This window comes from Homo sapiens, chromosome 1 (genome assembly GCF_000001405.40).
Source record: "Homo sapiens chromosome 1, GRCh38.p14 Primary Assembly".
Lineage (NCBI taxonomy): Eukaryota > Metazoa > Chordata > Mammalia > Primates > Hominidae > Homo > Homo sapiens.
In genome coordinates, this window is record NC_000001.11 from 32,788,996 (window position 1) to 32,807,032 (window position 18,037).

The window sequence follows — 18,037 nt, forward strand, 5'->3', positions numbered from 1 at the left end:
TAAAATTTTTTATAGAGATGGGATTTTATCATGTTGCCAAGGCTGGTCTTGAACTCCTGGACTCAACCTATCTGCCCACCTTGGCTTCCCAAAGTGCTAGGATTACAGGTGTGAACCACAATGTGTGGCCTACTTATAGTTTTTATGCCATATTATATTCCCAATTATTAGTGGAAACATAATTTAGCAAACTCCAAACTGTTAGATTCTATCCTAATTTTTACAAATTATATATAATGCTACATTGGACATCTTTGCAGTCTTTTCCCTTCTCTAGAATCATTTCCTTAAGATGCCGAAAATTGCTAGGTTCAAAATTGTTTTTTGAAAGGTATCCTAATCAACATTGCTGTCGACAATGTGTGAGGATACTTGTTCACAGCAATCAGCCACACTAAGTATTATATATTATCTACAGCCATTTTTCCTTTTTAGGTAATAGGCTTTGTTTCTTATTTGGAAAGAGTGAGTTCATGGTCATTTGAGTTCAGTGGTTACCAAATTCTAGCTCACATGTGACAGTATATGAATCACCTTTTACTGGGTTCCACCCAAACCTAATGAATCAAAATCTCTTGGGATTGGGCCAGGCATTTTTTTTTTTTTTTTTTAAGACGGAGTCTCACTCTGTGGCCCAGGCTGGAGTGCAGTGATGCAATCTTGACTCAGTGCAACCTCTTTCTCCTGGGTTCAAGCAATTCTCCTGTCTCAGCCTCCCGAGTAGCTGGGATTACAGGTGCATGCCACCACACCCAGCTGAATTTTTATATATTTAGTAGAGAAGGGGTTTCACCATGTTGGCCAGGCTGGTCTGGAACTCCTGACCTCAGGTGATCCACCCGCCTTGGCCTCCCAAAGTGCTGGGATTACAGGTGTGAGCCACTGTGCCTGGCCCTTTTTTTTTTGAGAGGGAGTCTCGCTCTTGTTGCCCAGGCTGGAGTGCAACAGTGTGATCTTGGCTCACTGCAACCTCTGCCTCCTGGGTTCAAGCAATTCTCCTGCCTCAGCCTCCCTAGTAGCTGGGATTACAGGCGCCTGCCACCACGACTGGCTAATTTTTGTACTTTTAGTAGAGATGGGGTTTCACCATGTTGGACAGGCTGGTCTCGAACTCCTGACCTCAAGTATCCATCTGCCATGGCCTCCCAAGGTGCTGGGATTACAGGCGTGAGCCACCACGCAGGCCTTTTTTTTTTTTTTTTTTTTTAATTTGTATTTTTAAAAACTTTTTGGCTGGGTGCAGTGGCTCACGCCTATAATCCCAGCACCTTGGGAGGCTGAGGTGGGTGGATCACGAGGTCAGGAGATCGAGACCATCCTGGCTAATACAGTGAAACCCCATCTCTACTAAAAAAATACAAAATAAAATTAGCCAGGCATGGTGGCGGGCGCCTGTAGTCCCAGCTACTCTGGGAGGCTGAGGCAGGAGAATGGCATGAACCTGGGAGGCGGAGCTTGCAGTGAGCTGAGATCGCACCACTGCACTGCAGCCTGGGTGACAGAGTGAGACTCCATCTCAAAAAAAAAAAAAAAAAAAAAAAAAGGGAGAGAGAAAGGGAAGGAAGGAAGGAAATACAGATTCCTAAGTTCCTCCCAGAACTACTTTATCAGAATCTCTATGGACAAGGTCTAATCAACACTTTTTTTTTTTTTTTTAAATTCCCTAGATGATTCTGAAGGTAAGCCATGTTTGGGAACCCAGAACTCAACCTTTCACATCTTTGGATTTCCACGTTCTAATGATCAGAACCAAAGTGAACTTTCCCTCAAGTACACGAGCTCAAGAGGGACTCTTAAATATTAAAAGATATCATAATATTAGTGATATCAAGTATTACCCTAGGAATCAAAATGCTAATTAGTGAAATGCAACCATAGTGCTCTCATTAATAAGGCTGAATTTCATCACAGTCGTATGAACAAAGACATTACTTTTGCTTTTATTTTTTTATCAGCAGCAAAAACCATTAAGTTATGATTAGATCTCATCAGGACTGCTCTGGATCCTTTGATACTCAAGAACCACTAAACTAATTGAATGGTGTAAGGCTCCTTCTAACTCAAATATTGGAGAATTCTAGTTAGCCAGGTCACTGTTCTTTTCAGTCCTCAATCTCTCCATTGAGGCTGAAGATTTCTAAATTCAAGTCTCAGCTGGCAACTTACCTCTTCTGAAGAGCTCATTTTGCTGCCTGTTAATCCTGGAACCATAGGATTCATCAGATGGACCCGTTTTGAATAGCCAAGTGCAGGGAGGTACTGAGAGATTAGAGAAACACACAAAAGCCGATATTAGTCTAAGTTCCTCCTCAGTGCCCTGATCTCATCTGACTTGGCCAGCAACTGAGTAGTTGTTATATTGCTTCCAATCTTTTTATACTAAATATGTAGCTTTGACAGTGACTGTAATTCAAGCGAAGTTTTTTTCCCTACTGCTTTTCTATCAGTATTACATTGTGAGGCTATTGGACTTATGTCACCATAAACAACAATAAAAGCTGGAAATACATAAAACAACAGGGCAAGCCGGGCATGGTGGCTCACACCTGTAATCCCAGCACTTTGGGAGGCTGAGGTGGGTGGATCACCTAAGGTTAGGAGTTCAAGATGAGCCTGGCCAACATGGTGAAACCCCATCTCTACTAAGAATACAAAAATTAGCCAAGCGTGGTGGCAGGCACCTGTAATCCCAGCTACTCGGGAGGCTGAGGCAGTAGGATCACTTGAACCCGGGAGGCGGAGGTTGCAGTGAGCCAAGATCGTGCCATTGCACTCCAGCCTGGGCGACAAGAGCGAGACTCCATCTCAAAAAACAAAAACAAAAACAAAACAAACAAAAAACAAAACAAAACCCAACAGGGCAGCAAATCTTGAGCGAAGGGAAGTAAGGTGACCACACTTGCCTTGGGCTTTCTCACTGAGGGTATTTCTTTGCAAACCAGGTGCTGATAAAAAGAGACCAAGCAGACAGCGAAAGACTAAGCAGAGGAAACAGCTATTGGAGTTCAGGGCTGGAGGAGGCTAGGGATTGGGATGGGTTCCTCAGCCTATGTCAAAATTCCCCACTGATTTCTTGGCTGACTCATAGCTGTGTATGCACATAGTGAGATACCAGGAAGTCTGGCAGAGAACAGGTTCTGGGAGGCTGGAGACCTGGGCAGAGATTTTGGAGGCTGCACAGTATTGGGGAGACAGAGATGGAAGTTTAGCTCCAATCAAAGTAGAGAAGGCTTTGTGAACACCATGATATTTCAGTTTGAGTCTCTAGAAAGGCCATGCTCTAGGAACAAGGACCACACCACAGGAGTAAAGGCTAAGCTGAAGTAGACGTTCTAACAAAGCCTAAAACCAACCCCTGACAGAACCCAGGTGATAAGTCAGTAATTTAGCAATCTACAGAAAACATAGCATCCTACAAACACAATCCGGAGGGTCTACAATGCATCTATAATCCCTTTGATACACACATACAAAAAAATACTAGAAATGGGAAGCAGAGAAAAGTGGCTGACAGTTAAAATAGCCAATAGAAGCAGATTCAGAAACAATCCAGATATTGCAATAAATAGACCATGATGCCAAAATAACTGTGATTGGTAGGTTAAAGAAAATAAGCAGGGCATGGTGGCTCATGCCTGTAATCCCAGCACTTTGGGAGGCCGAGGCAGGCGTCAGGAGATCGAGACCATCCTGGCTAACACGGTGAAACCCCGTCTCTACTAAAAATATAAAAAATTAGCTGGGCGTGGTGGTGGGTGCCTGTAGTCCCAGTTACTCGGGAGGCTGAGGCAGGAGAATGGCATGAACCCAGGAGGCGGAGCTTGCAGTGAGCTGAGATTGCGCCACTGCACTCTAGCCTGGGTGACAAAGCGAGACTCCATCTCAAAAAAAAATAAAAATAAAAATAAATAAATAAATAAATAAAAGAAAATAAGAGTACATAGGCAGAATAGGCAGGAAAAACAAACCAAAAAGGAAATAAGAAAAGGCAGACAAAATGGATGAAAGAGAATTGTAAAAGACAATTGGAATCTATAAAAAGAATCAAATGGAAGTTCTAAAATGTCACAATACAATACTGGATTTAACAGAAGACACGATTGATAAACTTGAAGAAAGTTCAATAGAACATATCCAAAGTAAAGCACAGAGGGAACAAAGAAAGGAAAACAGCAGAACAGAATATGAGACATGAGTTTTATAAAGTCCCTAGAGGAGAAAGAGAATAAGAGAGAAGCAGTATTTGAGGAAATTATGGCAGACAATTTCCCAAATTTGATGAAAACAAATCCACTGATTCAAGAAGCTCAGCAAAATCTAAGCAGGATAAATACAAAGAAAACTATAGCTGAAAACATCATAGCTGGTCAGGCACAGCAGTTCACACCTGTAATCCTAGCAATTTGGGAGGCCAAGGCAGGCAAAGCGTTTGAGCTCAGGAGTTTGAGACTAGCTTGGCCAACATGGTGAAATTCCATCTCCAAAAAAAAATACAAAAATTAGCCAGGTGTGGTGGCACATGCCCATAGTCCCAGCTACTTGGGAGGCTGAGGTGGGAGGATCATCTGAGCCCAGGAAGTCAAGGCTGCAGTGAGCCAAGATCAATCACTCCAGCCTGGGCAATGCAAGCAAGACCCTGTCTCAAAGAAAACAACAACAAAAACATCATAGTAAAATTGCTGAAAATCAGAAACAAGAAAAAATCTTAAAAGCAGAGAAAAGACATATTATCTGTAAAGGAGAAACAATAAACTTAGAGGTGACTTTTCAGTCGAAACTATGGAAGCCAGAAGGCAATGCAATGATCCTTTAAAAGTGCCAAAAGAAAAATAATTGCAAACTTCCAATTTCATACCCAGTGAAAGAAATTGAAAGATGTTTTCAGATAAAAGAAAGCTGAAAGAACTCATTACTGAAAGAACTGCACTACAAACACATACTAAGTGGGGGCTCTTTAGGTTGAAGGAAAATGAACTCACACAGAAGCAAAGAACTGCAGACAAGAATCAAGAGTATCAGAAAGGGGAAGTAGGGGTAGATATAGATGAAAAGTGACTTAAAAAACAATTACAGGCTGGGCGCAGTGGCTTACGCCTGTAATCCCAGAACTTTGGGAGGCCAAGGTGGGTGGACAGCTTGAGGTCAGGAGTTCAAGACCAGCCTGGCCAACATGGTGAAACCCCATCTCTACTAAAAATACAAAAATTAGCCGGGCGTGGTGGCGGGCACCTGTAATCCCAGCTACTCAGTAGGCTGGGGCACGAGAATCCCTTGAACCAGGGAGACGGATGTTGCAGTGAGCCGAGATCATGCCGCTGCCCTTCAGCCTGGGTGATAGAGGGAGACTCAGTCTCAGAAAAATTAAAAAAAAAATGGTAGTAAAGTCTTTAAGATTTATTTTATTTTATTTTTGAGACAAGGTCTCTCTCTGTTGCCCAGCCTGGAGTGCAATGGTGCGATCTCAGTTTACTGCAATCTCTGCCTCCCAGGCTCAAACAATTCTCCTGTGTCAGCCTCTTGAATAGCTGGGATTATAGGTGCACACCACTGCGTCTGGCTAATTTTTGTATTTTTACTAGAGACGGGGTTTCATCATGTTGGCCAGGCTGGTCTCAAGCTTCTGACCTCAGGTGATCTGCCTGTCTTGGCCTCCCAAAGTGCTGGGATTACAGGAGTGACCCATTGCGCCCAGCCAAGGGATTTAAAATTTATGTCAAAAATGAGTTTTGAGGCTGGGTGCGGTGACTCATGCCTGTAATCCCAGCACTTTGGGAGGCCGAGGCAGGTGGGTTACGAGGTCAGGAGATGGAGACCAACCTGGCCAACATGGTGAAACCCCATCTCTACTAAAAATACAAAAATTAGCTGGACATGGTTGGGAGCCTGTAATCCCAGCTACTCGGAAGGCTGAGGCAGGAGAATGGCTTGAACCCGGGAGGCGGAGGTTGCAGTGAGCCAAGATCACGCCACTGCACTCCAGCCTGGTGACAGAGCAAGACTCTGTCTCAAAAAAAAAAAAAAAAAAAAAAAAAAGATGAGTTTTGCCAGGCGCGGTGGCTCACGCTTGTAATCTCAGCACTCTGGGAGGCCAAGGTCGGAGGATCATGAGGTCAGGAGACCGAGACCACCTTGGCTAACACGGTGAAACCCCGTCTCTATTAAAAATACAAAAAATTAGCAGGGTGTGGTGGCGGGCGCCTGTAGTCCCAGCTACTTGGGAAGCTGAGGCAGGAGAATGGCGTGAACCCGGGAGGTGGAGGTTGCAGTGAGCCGAGATGGCGCTATTGCACTCCAGCCTGGGCGACAGAGCAAGACTCCATCTCAAAAAACAAAAAACAAACAAACAAAAAATGAGTTTTACTCCAACTGTTGTTGGAGGAAAAATGTAGTAAAACTGTTTCTTGCATTGTTGGGCAGTGGTAAAAATATCTAACTTAAACTGTAATAAATTGCAAGGATATGTGTTGTAATCTCTAGGGCAGGGATGGGCAAACTGTTTTAGAAAGGGCCAGTTAATAAAGATTTTAGGGGCTGGGTGCAGTGGCTCACGTCTGTAATCCTAGCACTATGGGAGGCCAAGGCGGGCAGATCATGAGGTCAAGAGATCAAGACCATTCCTGGCCAACATGGTGAAACCCTGTCTCTACTAAAAATACAAAAATTAGCTGGGTGTGGTGGCACGCGCCTGTAGTCCCAGCTACTTGGGAGGCTGAGGCAGGAGAATTGCTGGAACCCAAGAGGCAGAGGTTGCAGTGAGCCAAGATTGTGCCACTGCACTCCAGCATGGGTGACAAAGCGAGACTCCCTCTCAAAAAAAAAAAAAAAAGATTTTAGGCTTTATGGGCCACATATGCTCTTTACTGCTTATTCTTCATCTTTTTTCACAATCCTTAAACAATGTAAAAACCATTCTTAGCTCATGAGTCATACAAAAACAAGGTATGGGCCAAATCCCTGCTTTAATAATAAAAGGAGGTCCAACTAAAAAGTTAATCAAGCAGATACAATGAAATAATAGGCCAGGTGCAGTGGCTCATGCTTGTAATCCCAGTACTTTGACAGGCTGAGATGGGTGGATCATGAGGTCAGGAGTTCGAGATCAGCCTGGCCAACATAGTGAAACTCCGTCTCTACTAAAAATACAAAAAAATTAGCCGGGTGTGGTGGCAGGCACCTGTAATCCCAGCTACTTGGGAGGCTGAGGCAAAGAGAGTCACTTGAACCTGGGAAACAGAGGTTGCAGTGAGCCGAGATCGCGCCACTGCACTCCAGCCCAGGCAACAGTGTGAGACTCTGTCTTTAAAAAACAAACAAAAAACAACAAAAAACAAATAATAAGAAATAATCAAAAAATGTATTTATTTTTTTCTTTTTTGTTTTTTTTTTCAGAGACAAGGTCTTGCTTTGTCACCCAGTTTGGAGTGTGATGGTGTGATCATGGCTCACTGCAGCCAGGATCACACCTCCTGGGCTCAAGCAATTATTCTGCCTCGGCCTCCTGAATAGCTGGGACTACAGAGGCGTGCCTGGCTAATTTTTTATTTTATTGTGGAGACAGAGTCTTGCTATGTGGCCCAGGCTGGTCTCAAACTCCTGGGCTCAAATGATCCTCCTGCCTCAGCCTCCCAACGTGCTAGGATTACAGGCATGAGCCACAGTGCCTGGCCCTCAAAAAATTTATATTGTGGCTGGGTGCAGTGGCTCACACCTGTAATCCCAGTGCTTTGGAAGGCTGAGATGGGTGGATCACCTGAGGTCAGGAGTTCAAAACCAGCCTGGCCAACATGGTGAAACCCCATCTCTACTTAAAAATATAAAAATTACCTAGGCATGGTGGCAGGCACCTGTAATCCCAGCTACTCGGCAGGCTGAGGCAGGAGAATCGCTTGAACCCGGGAGGTGGAGGTTGCAGTGAGCCGAGAGTGAGCCATTGCACTCCAGCCTGGGTGACAATAGCGAAACTCAGTCTCAAAAAAAAAAAAAAAAAAAAAAAAAAAAAAATATATATATATATATATATATATATATATATATATATATATATATATATATATAGTAAGCATTTCTGTATTCATTAACTATATCAAAAAACTAAGCCAGGCACAGTGGATCTCACCTATAATCCCAGCACTTTGGGAGGCCAAGGCAGGAAGACTGCTTGAGCCCAGGGGTTTGAGACCTGCCTGGGCAACACAGGGAGGCCTCATCCCTACAAGTAATTTTAAAACTACCCGGGTGTTGTGGCATGCACCTGTGGTCCCAGCTACTTGGGAGGCTGAGGTGGGAGAACTGCTTGAGCCCAGGCTGTCGAGGCTGTGATGAGCCATGACCGCATTACTGCACTCTGGCCTGGGCGACAGAGTGAGAACTTGTCTCAAAAAAAAGACAAGAAAAAGAAAAAGATGCTGGGAAATGCGAACCAAATGCTCTGTGAAAGGACAGTAGTTCCAACTGGTAATGCCTCTCCTTGGAAACTGGGCTATTAGGAAAGGAGTAAATCCAACAGGTGCGGGAGCAGCTTCCTGGTTGTCACCAGGCACATGGGCTCTGGAGTTTGAAAGATCTGGGTACTAATAATTCCTGCTCAGTTACTAACTGTGTGATATTGGACAACTTCTTATCTTCTATCCTCAGTGTTCTCATCTGCAAAACAAGGAGAATATTTACCATACACTATGACTAGTGGGACTGACACATCATAGTTCAATAAACACAGCTGCATACCTCTGAGGTGCAAGTGAAAAAAGACAGGAAAGCAGACACTCACCTTCTCTGCAAAGGTGAAAATCTTTCTCTGATCAATGCCTCCAAATTGGGCATCTACTTTTAAATACTCTTCATCCAAAGCCTGTGGAAAGAAACACATGAACATAAACATCTACTTTATTTTTTTGAGACAGAGTCTCGCTCTGTCGCCCAGGCTGGAGTGCTGTGGCGTGATCTCGGCTCACTGCCACCTCTGCCTCTCAGGTTCAAGTGAGTCTCCTGCCTCAGCCTCCCGAGTAGTTGGGATTACAGACATGCACCACCACGCCCGGCTAATTTTTTGTATTTTTAGTAGAGACAACGTTTTGCCATGTTGCCCAGGCTGGCCTTAAAATCCTGAGCTCACCTTGGCCACCCACCTTGGCCTCCCAAAGTGCTGGGATTACAGGCGAGAGCCACCATGCCCAGCCTAAACATCTACTTTATTTCTTCTATATGGGTCTGAGAAATCAGAAACTTTAGGAAATTACTAGATTTTTCAGAAGGTAAAGCCAAGAAGAAAATAAACAGCAGTCAGCTTCCCTCTTGGCCTCAAAAGCTGCAAAGACAGTTGCTGAGTGTTTGCGGTGAACATTACTCTATGTGGATGTCATGGGATAAAAAAATAAGAGTAGTCTCTGCCCTCAGGATATGCAGAATCCTGCAGGGAGGGAGAGAAGAAGAAAACAAACCATAGTCATGCCAAAGGTATTCTACTGAATAAGGTGGCCTGTGACAAATGAAATATAAGTAGCATAAAGAAGTCCTGTGAGAATTCGGGAAAAAGGTAAGACTGAACTAGAAAACAGTGACTGTCTGGGTGCGATGGCTCACGCCTGTAATCCCAGCACTTTGGGAGGCTGAGGTGGAAAGATCACTTGAGCCCGGGTGTCTCTCCAAAAATAAAAAACAAACAAACAAACAAAAAGAAATTAGCCAAGTGTGATGGTGCGCATCTATAGTCCCAGCTACTCAGGAGGCTGAGGTAGGAGGATCACCTAAGCCCAGAGAGGTCGTGGCTGCGGTGAGCCATGATCGTGCCACTGCACCCGAGCCTGGGAGACAGAGTGAAGCCCTGTCTCAAAAAATAAAATTAAATTAAAATAAATAAATAAAACAGTGACTGTCACTTATGACATGCCAGGCCTGCTGCCAGCTCCGTGGATGGTGAGATAAATCAGACCCAGACTCTCCCTTCAAGAAGCCCAATTATCCAGCTGGGGAGAGACATGTAAACAGATCATTTCAACTCAGCGTGCTAAGGGTTAACCCAGATGTTCATATAAGGAACAGTGTTGACATAAAAGAAGAAATTATCTCTATTTAGTAAGATGGGTGTGGAGAAGTCTTCCTAGAATCAGATTGTGGGCTAAGCTTGGTTTTGAACAACATATAGATGTTTTTCACCATGCAGAGGAAATAGAATGTGAGAAGGCACAGAGGTGTGAAGTGTTTAGGGAAATTTTGAGTGATTCAGTCTGCAAAAGTACGAACTTCAAGGGAGGTGGGAAGTAGTGACTGATGAGGTTAGAAAAGTAGGTAAAGACCATGAAATGTCATGCTAGGGTGCCTAGTGTTATCTTGGCCAATGAAAGGTTTTAAGGAGAGGAGAAATATGACCAGCACTGTAGGAAGATCTCAACAGTAACAGGGCAGGGCAGAGACTGGAGACTCATGGGTTGGAGACAAAGTGAATGCCTCAAAGGCTATTGTGAAAGTCTAAGTGAGAAATATCGATGGACAAAAGACAATGAGGACGCAGAGCAAGAATGAATTTAAGACATTTTAAAAAAGTAGAATCGATAAGATTTAGTGCATAATTGGCTGAAGGGAAGAGGAAGAGAAGGCTGAACAAGCAGGAACAGTCTAGAACAGCATTATCCAACAGAATCTTCTGTGGTGATGAATATATTATATGTCTGTGCTGTCCAATATAGTAGCTAACCAAGAACTTGATATATAGCCAATGTGACTAGAGAACAAAAATTTCCATTTTATTTAATAGCCACATATGACTAGGACTAGAGGCTACCACATTAGACAGTACAGACCTAGTTTTTTCTTTCTTTCTTTTTTTTTAGAGATGGAGTCTCACACACACAGAATAAAACAGAGATGGAGTCTTGCTACGTTGCCTAGGCTGGTCTTGAACTCCTGGCCTCAAGCGATCCTCCTGCCTTGGACTTGGGATTATAGGCATAAACCATGGCGCCCAGCCAACAGTGCAGAACTAGCATGTCTCCGGGTTTTCTTTTTTTAAGATAGGGTCTCACTCTGTCACCCAGGCTGGAGGGCAGTGGCATGATCTCGGCTCACTGCAACCTCCACCTCCTGCGTTCAAGCGATTCTCCCACCTCAGCCTCACAAGTAGCTGGGACTACAGGGGCATGCCACCACACCTGGCTAATTTTTGTATTATTTGGCAGAGATGGGGTTTCACCATGTTGGTCAGGCTGGTCTTGAACTCCCAACCTCAAGTGATCTGCCTGTCTTGGTCTCCCAAAGTGTTGGGATTACAGGTGCCAGCCACTGCGCCCAGCTCCAGGTTTAACCTTGGAAAATATCTCTTTGAGGTGACAAGGGAAAATTTTATTTTCTCATATCAAGCATTATAAAGGGCTAGACGTGTTGGCTTACGCCTGCAATTTCAGCACTTTGGGAGACTAAGGCAGGAGGATCACTTGAGGCCAGGAGTTCAAGACCAGCCTAGACAACATAGTGAGACCCTGTCTCTACAAAAAATTTAATTAAAAAAAATTATACAGATATACAAAGAAAAAGTGAAGTCTATCCATATTTTCATCCTGCCTTCACAAGGTAAACAGTATCAACAGCTTGGTTTGTACTTTTCTTTTTTTTTTTGGAGATGGAGTCTTGCACTGTCTGTCACCCAGGCTGGAGTGCAGTGGTGCGAGCTCCGCCTCCTAGGTTCATGCCATTCTCCTGCCTCAGCCTCCTGTGTAGCTGGGTCTACAGGCGCCCGTCACCACACCTGGCTAATTTTTTGTATTTTTAGTAGAGATGGGGTTTCACCATGTTAGCCAGGATGGTCTCGATTTCCTGACCTCGTGATCTGCCCGTTTTGGCCTCCCAAAGTGCTGGGATTACAGGCGTAAGCCACTGCACCCGCCTGGTTTGTATTTTTCTACCCTTCTCCTTGCTCGTACAAATATATGTGCACACAAAGGAAACAGAAGGATGTTTCTGTTAAAACATGTATTTGTTTTAACAGAAAATAGGATCATGCTCAAATTTATTTTCACATATCGCTCTGAAGTTTATTTCCTTTATTAAGATTATGATAAAAAGGATTATGATTAATATAAAGATGTATGAGATGAACAATGTCTTAAAGGACAGACAGGTAGAGAAGGAATTATAATGGAAGAAGTAAAAGAGCTTCCCAGGAAGCGGGGAAGGAAGACGAGAGACACACAGGAAGGCCTATAGGTTGGAGAAGGAATAGAAAATGCATATATTTAACTGGTGCCAGGAGAGAGGTTTGTGTACAGTACAGGCATACCTCAGCGATACTGTGGGTTCAGTTCCAGACAACCACAATAAAGTGACTCACTTGGATTTTTTTGTTTCTCGGTGCATATAAAAGTTGTGGTTACACTATACCGTAGTCTATTTAAAGTGTGTAATAGCGTTACATCTACAAAAACAACGTACATACTTTAATTTGGTTAAGGTATGGCTAAAAATGCTAACGATCATCTGAGCCTTCAGCAAGTCATAATCTTCTTGCTGGTGGAGGGTCTTGCCTCCATGTCTGATGGCTGCTGACTGATCAGGGTGGTGGTTGCTGAAGGCTGCAGTGGCTGTGGCAATTCCCTAAAATAAGACAACAATGAAGTTTGCCACATCAATTGACTCTCCCTTTCACGAAAGATTTATCTGGTGCAGGTGATGCTGTTTGATAGCATTCTGTCCACAGCAGAACTTCTTTCAATATTGGAGTCCATCCTCTCAGACCCTGCTGCTGCTTTATCAACGAAGTTTATGTAATATTCAAAATCTTTTGTTGCCATTTCAACAACGTTCACAGAATCCTCACCAGTAGTTTCCATTTCAAGAAACCACTTTCTTTGCTCATCCATAAGAAGCAATTCCTCATCTGTTCAAAATTTATCATGAGATTGCAGCAATTCAGTCACATCTTCAGGCTCCACTCCTAATTGTAGTTCTCTTGTTATTTCTTTTTTTTTTTTTTTTTTTTTTTGAGACGGAGTCTCGCTCTGTCGCCCAGGCTGGAGTGCAGTGGCGGGATCTCGGCTCACTGCAAGCTCCGCCTCCCGGGTTCACGCCATTCTCCTGCCTCAGCCTCCCAAGTAGCTGGGACTACAGGCGCCCGCCACTACGCCCGGCTAATTTTTTGTATTTTTAGTAGAGACGGGGTTTCACCGTTTTAGCCCGGATGGTCTCGATCTCCTGACCTCGTGATCCGTCCGCCTCGGCCTCCCAAAGTGCTGGGATGACAGGCGTGAGCCACCGCGCCCGGCCTGTTCTCTTGTTATTTCTACCCCATCTACAGTGACTTCCCTCACTGAAGTCTTGAACCCCTCAAAGTCACCCATGACAGTTACCATCCACTTCTTCCAAACTTCTGTTAATATGGATATTTTTACTTCCTCCCATGAATCACGAATATTCTTAATAACACCGAGAATGCTGGATCCTTTTCAGAGGTTTTCAGTTTACTTTGCCCAGATCCATCGGAGGAGTCACTATCTATGGCAGCTATAGCCTTTTGAAATATATTTCTTAAATAGTAGGACTTGAAAGTTGAAATCACTCCTTGATCCACGGGCTATAGAATGGATGTTGTGTTAGCAGGCATGAAAATAACATTCAACTCCTGAACATCTCAAGCTCTACAGAAGCTCTCCATCAGAGCTCTTAGGTGATCAGGTGCACTGTCAATGAGCAGTAATGTTTTGAAAAGAATCTTTCTTTTTGAGGAGTAGGTCTCAAAAGTGGGCTTAAAATGCTCAGTAAATCATACTGTTAACAGACGTGCTACTATCCAGGCTTTGTTGTTCCATTTATAGAGCTCAGGCAGAGTAGACTTAGCATAATTCTTTTTTGAGATGGAGTCTCACTCTGTTACCCAGGCTGGAGTGCAGTGGTGTGATCTCACCTCACTGCAATCTCTGCCTCCTGGGTATAAGTGATTCTCCTGCCTCAGCCTTCCGAGTAGCTGGGGTTACAGATGCGCGCCACAACGCCTGGCTATTTTTTTTTTTTTTTTTTTTTTGAGACAGAGTCTTGCATTGTTGCCCGGGCTGGAGTGCAATGGTGCGATCTCGGCTTACTGCAATCTCCACCTCCCGGGTTCAAGCGACTGTCCTGCCTCAGCCTCCTGAGTAGCTGGGACTACAGTTGCGCACCACCATGCCCGGCTAATTAATATTTTTAGTAGAGACGGGGTTTTACTATGATGGCCAGGCTGGTCTCGAACTCCTGACCTCGTGATCTGCCTGCCTCGGCCTCCCAAAGTGCTGAGTTACAGGTGTGAGCCATCATGCCTGGCCTAATTCTTCTTTTTTTTTTTTTTTTTGTAGTTTTAGTAGAGACCGGGTTTCACCATGTTGGTCAGGCTGGTCTCGAACTCCTGGCCTCAAGTGATTTGCTCACCTCGGCATCCCAAAGTGCTGGGATTACAGGCATGAGCCACCATGCCCGGCCTATTTAGCATAATTCTTAAAGGCACTAGGATTTTTGGAATGTAAATGAGCATTGGCTTCAACTTCAAGTCACCAGCTGCATTAGCTCCTAACAAGAGAGTCAGCCTGTCCTTTGAAGATTTGAAGCCAGGAATCAACTTCTCTCTAGCTACGAAAGTCCGAGATGGCATCTTCTTCCGAAAAAAGGCTATTTCATCTACCTTGAAAATCCATTGTTGAGTGTAGCCACCTTCATCAATGATCTTAGCTAGATCTTCTGGGTAACTTGCTGCAACTTCTACATCAGGGCTTGCTGCTTCACCTTGCACTTTTTTTTTTTAATAGTATTTATTGATCATTCTTGGGTGTTTCTCGGAGAGGGGGATTTGGCAGGGTCATAGGACAATAGTGGAGGGAAGGTCAGCAGATAAACATGTGAACAAGGGTCTCTGGTTTTCCTAGGCAGAGGACCCTGCGGCCTTCCGCAGTGTTTGTGTCCCTGGGTACTTGAGATTAGGGAGTGGTGATGACTCTTAACGAGCATGCTGCCTTCAAGCATCTGTTTAACAAAGCACATCTTGCACCGCCCTTTATCCATTTAACCCTGAGTGGACACAGCACATGTTTCAGAGAGCACGGGGTTGGGGGTAAGGTTATAGATTAACAGCATCCCAAGGCAGAAGAATTTTTCTTAGTACAGAACAAAATGGAGTCTCCCATGTCTACCTCTTTCCACACAGACACAGTAACAATCTGATCTCTCTTTCTTTTCCCCACATTTCCCCCTTTTCTATTCGACAAAACCGCCATCGTCATCATGGCCCGTTCTCAACGAGCTGTTGGGTACTCCTCCCAGACGGGGTGGCCGCCGGGCAGAGGGGCTCCTCACTTCCCAGACGGGGCGGCCGGTCAGAGGCACCCCCAACCTCCCTCCCGGACGGGGTGGCTGGCCGGGCGGGGGTTGCCCCCCACCTCCCTCCTGGACAGGGCGGCTGGCCGGGCGGCGGCTGCCCCCCACCTCCCGGACGGGGCGGCTGCCGGGCGGAGACGCTCCTCACTTCCCAGACGGGGCGGCTGCCAGGCGGAGGGGCTCCTCACTTCTCAGACGGGGCGGCTGGGCAAAGACGCTCCTCACCTCCCAGACGGGGTGGCGGTCGGGCAGAGACACTCCTCAGTTCCCAGACCGGGTCGCGGCCGGACAGAGGCGCTCCTCACATCCCAGACGGGGCGGCGGGGCAGAGGTGCTCCCCACATCTGAGACGATGGGCAGCCGGGCAGAGACGCTCCTCACTTCCCAGACGTGATGGCGGCCGGGAAGATGCGCTCCTCACTTCCAAGACTGGGCGGCCGGGCAGAGGGGCTCCTCACATCCCAGACGATGGGCGGCCAGGCAGAGACGCTCCTCACTTCCCAGATGGGGTGGCAGCCAGGCAGAGGCTGCAATCTCGGCACTTTGGGAGGCCAAGGCAGGCGGCTGGGAGGTGGAGGTTGTAGCGAGCTGAGATCACGCCACTGCACTCCAGCCTGGGCAACATTGAGCACTGAGTGAGCGAGACTCCGTCTGCAATCCCGGCACCTCGGGACGCCGAGGCGGGTAGATCACTCGCGGTCAGGAGCTGGAGACCAGCCCGGCCAACACAGCGAAACCCCGTCTCCACCAAAAAATACAAATTGCAGGCGTGGCGGCACGCGCCTGCAATCCCAGGCACTCGGCAGGCTGAGGCAGGAGAATCAGGCAGGGAGGTTGCAGTGAGCCAAGATGGCGGCAGTACAGTCCAGCCTCGGCTCGGCATCAGAGGGAGACGGTGGAAAGGGGAGAGGGGGAGAGGGGGAGAGGGGGAGAGGGGGAGAGGGGGAGAGGGAGAGAGGGAGAGAGGGAGAGAGGGAGAGCCACCTTGCACTTTTATGTTATGGAGATGGCTTTTTTCCCTTTAAATGTCATGAACCAATCTCTCAGCCTTCATAAAACTGAAGACAGGGCCTTTCTCTAGAGTAGGCTTTAGATTAAGGTAACATTGTGGCTGGTTTCATCTTCTATCCAGAGCACTACAATCTTCTCTATATCAGCATAAGTGAAACTTATGTCTGTTTCTATTTTTCAGGTGTTCACTGGAGTAGCACTTTGAATTTCCTTCAAGAACTTTCCCTATGGATTCACAACCTGGCTATTTGGTGCAAGAGGCCGAGCTTTCCGCCTGCCTCCGCTTTTGACATTCCTTCTTCACTAAGCTTAATCATTTCTAGGTGTAGATTTAAAGTGACAGATGTGCGGCCGGGCACGGTAGCTCACGTCTATAATCCCAGCACTGTGGGAGGCCAAGGTGGGTGGATCATGAGGTCAAGAGTTCAAGACCAGCCTGGCCAAGATGGTGAAACCCCATCTCTACTAAAAATACAAAAAAAATCAGCCGGGCATGGTGGCAGGCGCCTGTAATCCCAGCTACTCGGGAGGCTGAGGCAGAGAATTGCTTGAACCCGGGAGGCGGAGGTTGCAGTGAGCCGAGATTTCGCCACTGCACTCCAGCCTGGGCGACACAGCGAGATTCCGTCTCAAAAATAAATAAATAAATAAAGTGAGCTATGTGTGACTCTCCCTTTCAACACTTAGAGGCCATTGTAGGGTTATTAATTAGCCTAATTTCAATATTGTTGTGTTTTAGGAAATGAGGAGGCCAGGAGAGTGAGGAAATGGCTGGATGGTAGAGTAGTCAGAACACACACAATACTTATTAAGTTCGTTGTCTTATACGGGCACAGTTTGTGGTGCCCCAAAACAATTACAATATTTAACATCAAAGGTAACAGATCGCATATCACCATGCAGATATGATAATAATGAAAAAGCTTGAAATACTGTGAGAATTACCAAAATGTAGCACAGAGACACGAAGTGAGCACATGCTGTTGGAAAAATGGTGCTGGTGGACTTGCTGTACACAGGGTTGCCACACACCTTCAATTTGTAAAAAACACAATATCTGCGTAGTGCAGTAAAGCAAAGTGCAATAAGATATGCCTGTCATCAAACCAGAGCAGAAAAGGTCATCGGGCCACTCCATCCCCCTTAAGTACCTGCAGTCCGGGGTATAAGAGGCCACTCAGCAAAGGGTGCTCCACCTGCTTTACCACCTCAGCTCCAGCCTTCTTGGAATCGTGCTGTGTGACCACGGAGGAGAGTCTGTACACATCTAGTGTGTACTCTCTGAAGAGGAAAGGAAGAGGGGACAGCTGTAAACCTGGGCCTAGGCCTCAGTTTCCTAGGAAATCTAAAGCACATTAATTTACTTCCCTAACCTTAGTGTAACCAGGGATCTCGGTTTTAAAAATATATTTTAATCACCAACTTTCTTCTTCTTTCCCTCCCTTCTGGCAATGCATGCTTATTTAATTATGTTCTTGCTTAAGAAATTTCAGAGAGGAGGGTGAGGATTCAAAAACTACCTATTGGGTATTGTGCTGATTACCTGGGTGACAAAATTGTCTGTACACCAAACTCCTGTGACATGTAACAAACCTGCACATGCACCCCTTGAATCTAAAATAAAAGTTGGAAAAAAAGAAATCACAGAAGCTAATCTTGAAACAAACTAGGCATGGAGCCCAGACTGCAGAATCCTCCTGCT

General features: G+C 45.6%; 1 protein-coding gene across 2 annotated transcripts in view, besides 3 other annotated features; it reads right to left on the reverse strand.

Annotated features, from left to right (window-relative positions):
- YARS1 (tyrosyl-tRNA synthetase 1) overlaps nucleotides 1-18,037 on the reverse strand; it is a 42,120-nt gene that overhangs the window by 13,757 nt on the left and 10,326 nt on the right. For both annotated transcript variants that reach the window (XM_011542347.3, NM_003680.4), the window contains 3 exons: nucleotides 17,487-17,616; nucleotides 8,768-8,848; nucleotides 2,167-2,259 (listed from right to left, as the gene is read on the reverse strand). In XM_011542347.3, coding sequence (XP_011540649.1) covers nucleotides 2,167-2,220 — 54 coding nt within the window. In that variant the 5' untranslated portion in view covers nucleotides 2,221-2,259; nucleotides 8,768-8,848; nucleotides 17,487-17,616. The remainder of the gene's footprint in view (nucleotides 1-2,166; nucleotides 2,260-8,767; nucleotides 8,849-17,486; nucleotides 17,617-18,037) is intronic.
- Nucleotides 10,293-10,422: an enhancer, noted in NCBI's record as "active region_697". NCBI's record gives its function as "activates an Ori minimal core promoter by ATAC-STARR-seq in GM12878 lymphoblastoid cells {active_cell/tissue: GM12878}" and the evidence as "EXISTENCE:reporter gene assay evidence [ECO:0000049][PMID:35858748]".
- Nucleotides 15,023-15,697: an enhancer, noted in NCBI's record as "NANOG-H3K27ac-H3K4me1 hESC enhancer chr1:33269619-33270293 (GRCh37/hg19 assembly coordinates)". NCBI's record gives its function as "activates a minimal SCP1, AML or CMV promoter by ChIP-STARR-seq in naive H9 embryonic stem cells {active_cell/tissue: H9 hESC(naive)}" and the evidence as "EXISTENCE:reporter gene assay evidence [ECO:0000049][PMID:30033119]".
- Nucleotides 15,698-16,371: an enhancer, noted in NCBI's record as "H3K27ac-H3K4me1 hESC enhancer chr1:33270294-33270967 (GRCh37/hg19 assembly coordinates)". NCBI's record gives its function as "activates a minimal SCP1, AML or CMV promoter by ChIP-STARR-seq in naive H9 embryonic stem cells {active_cell/tissue: H9 hESC(naive)}" and the evidence as "EXISTENCE:reporter gene assay evidence [ECO:0000049][PMID:30033119]".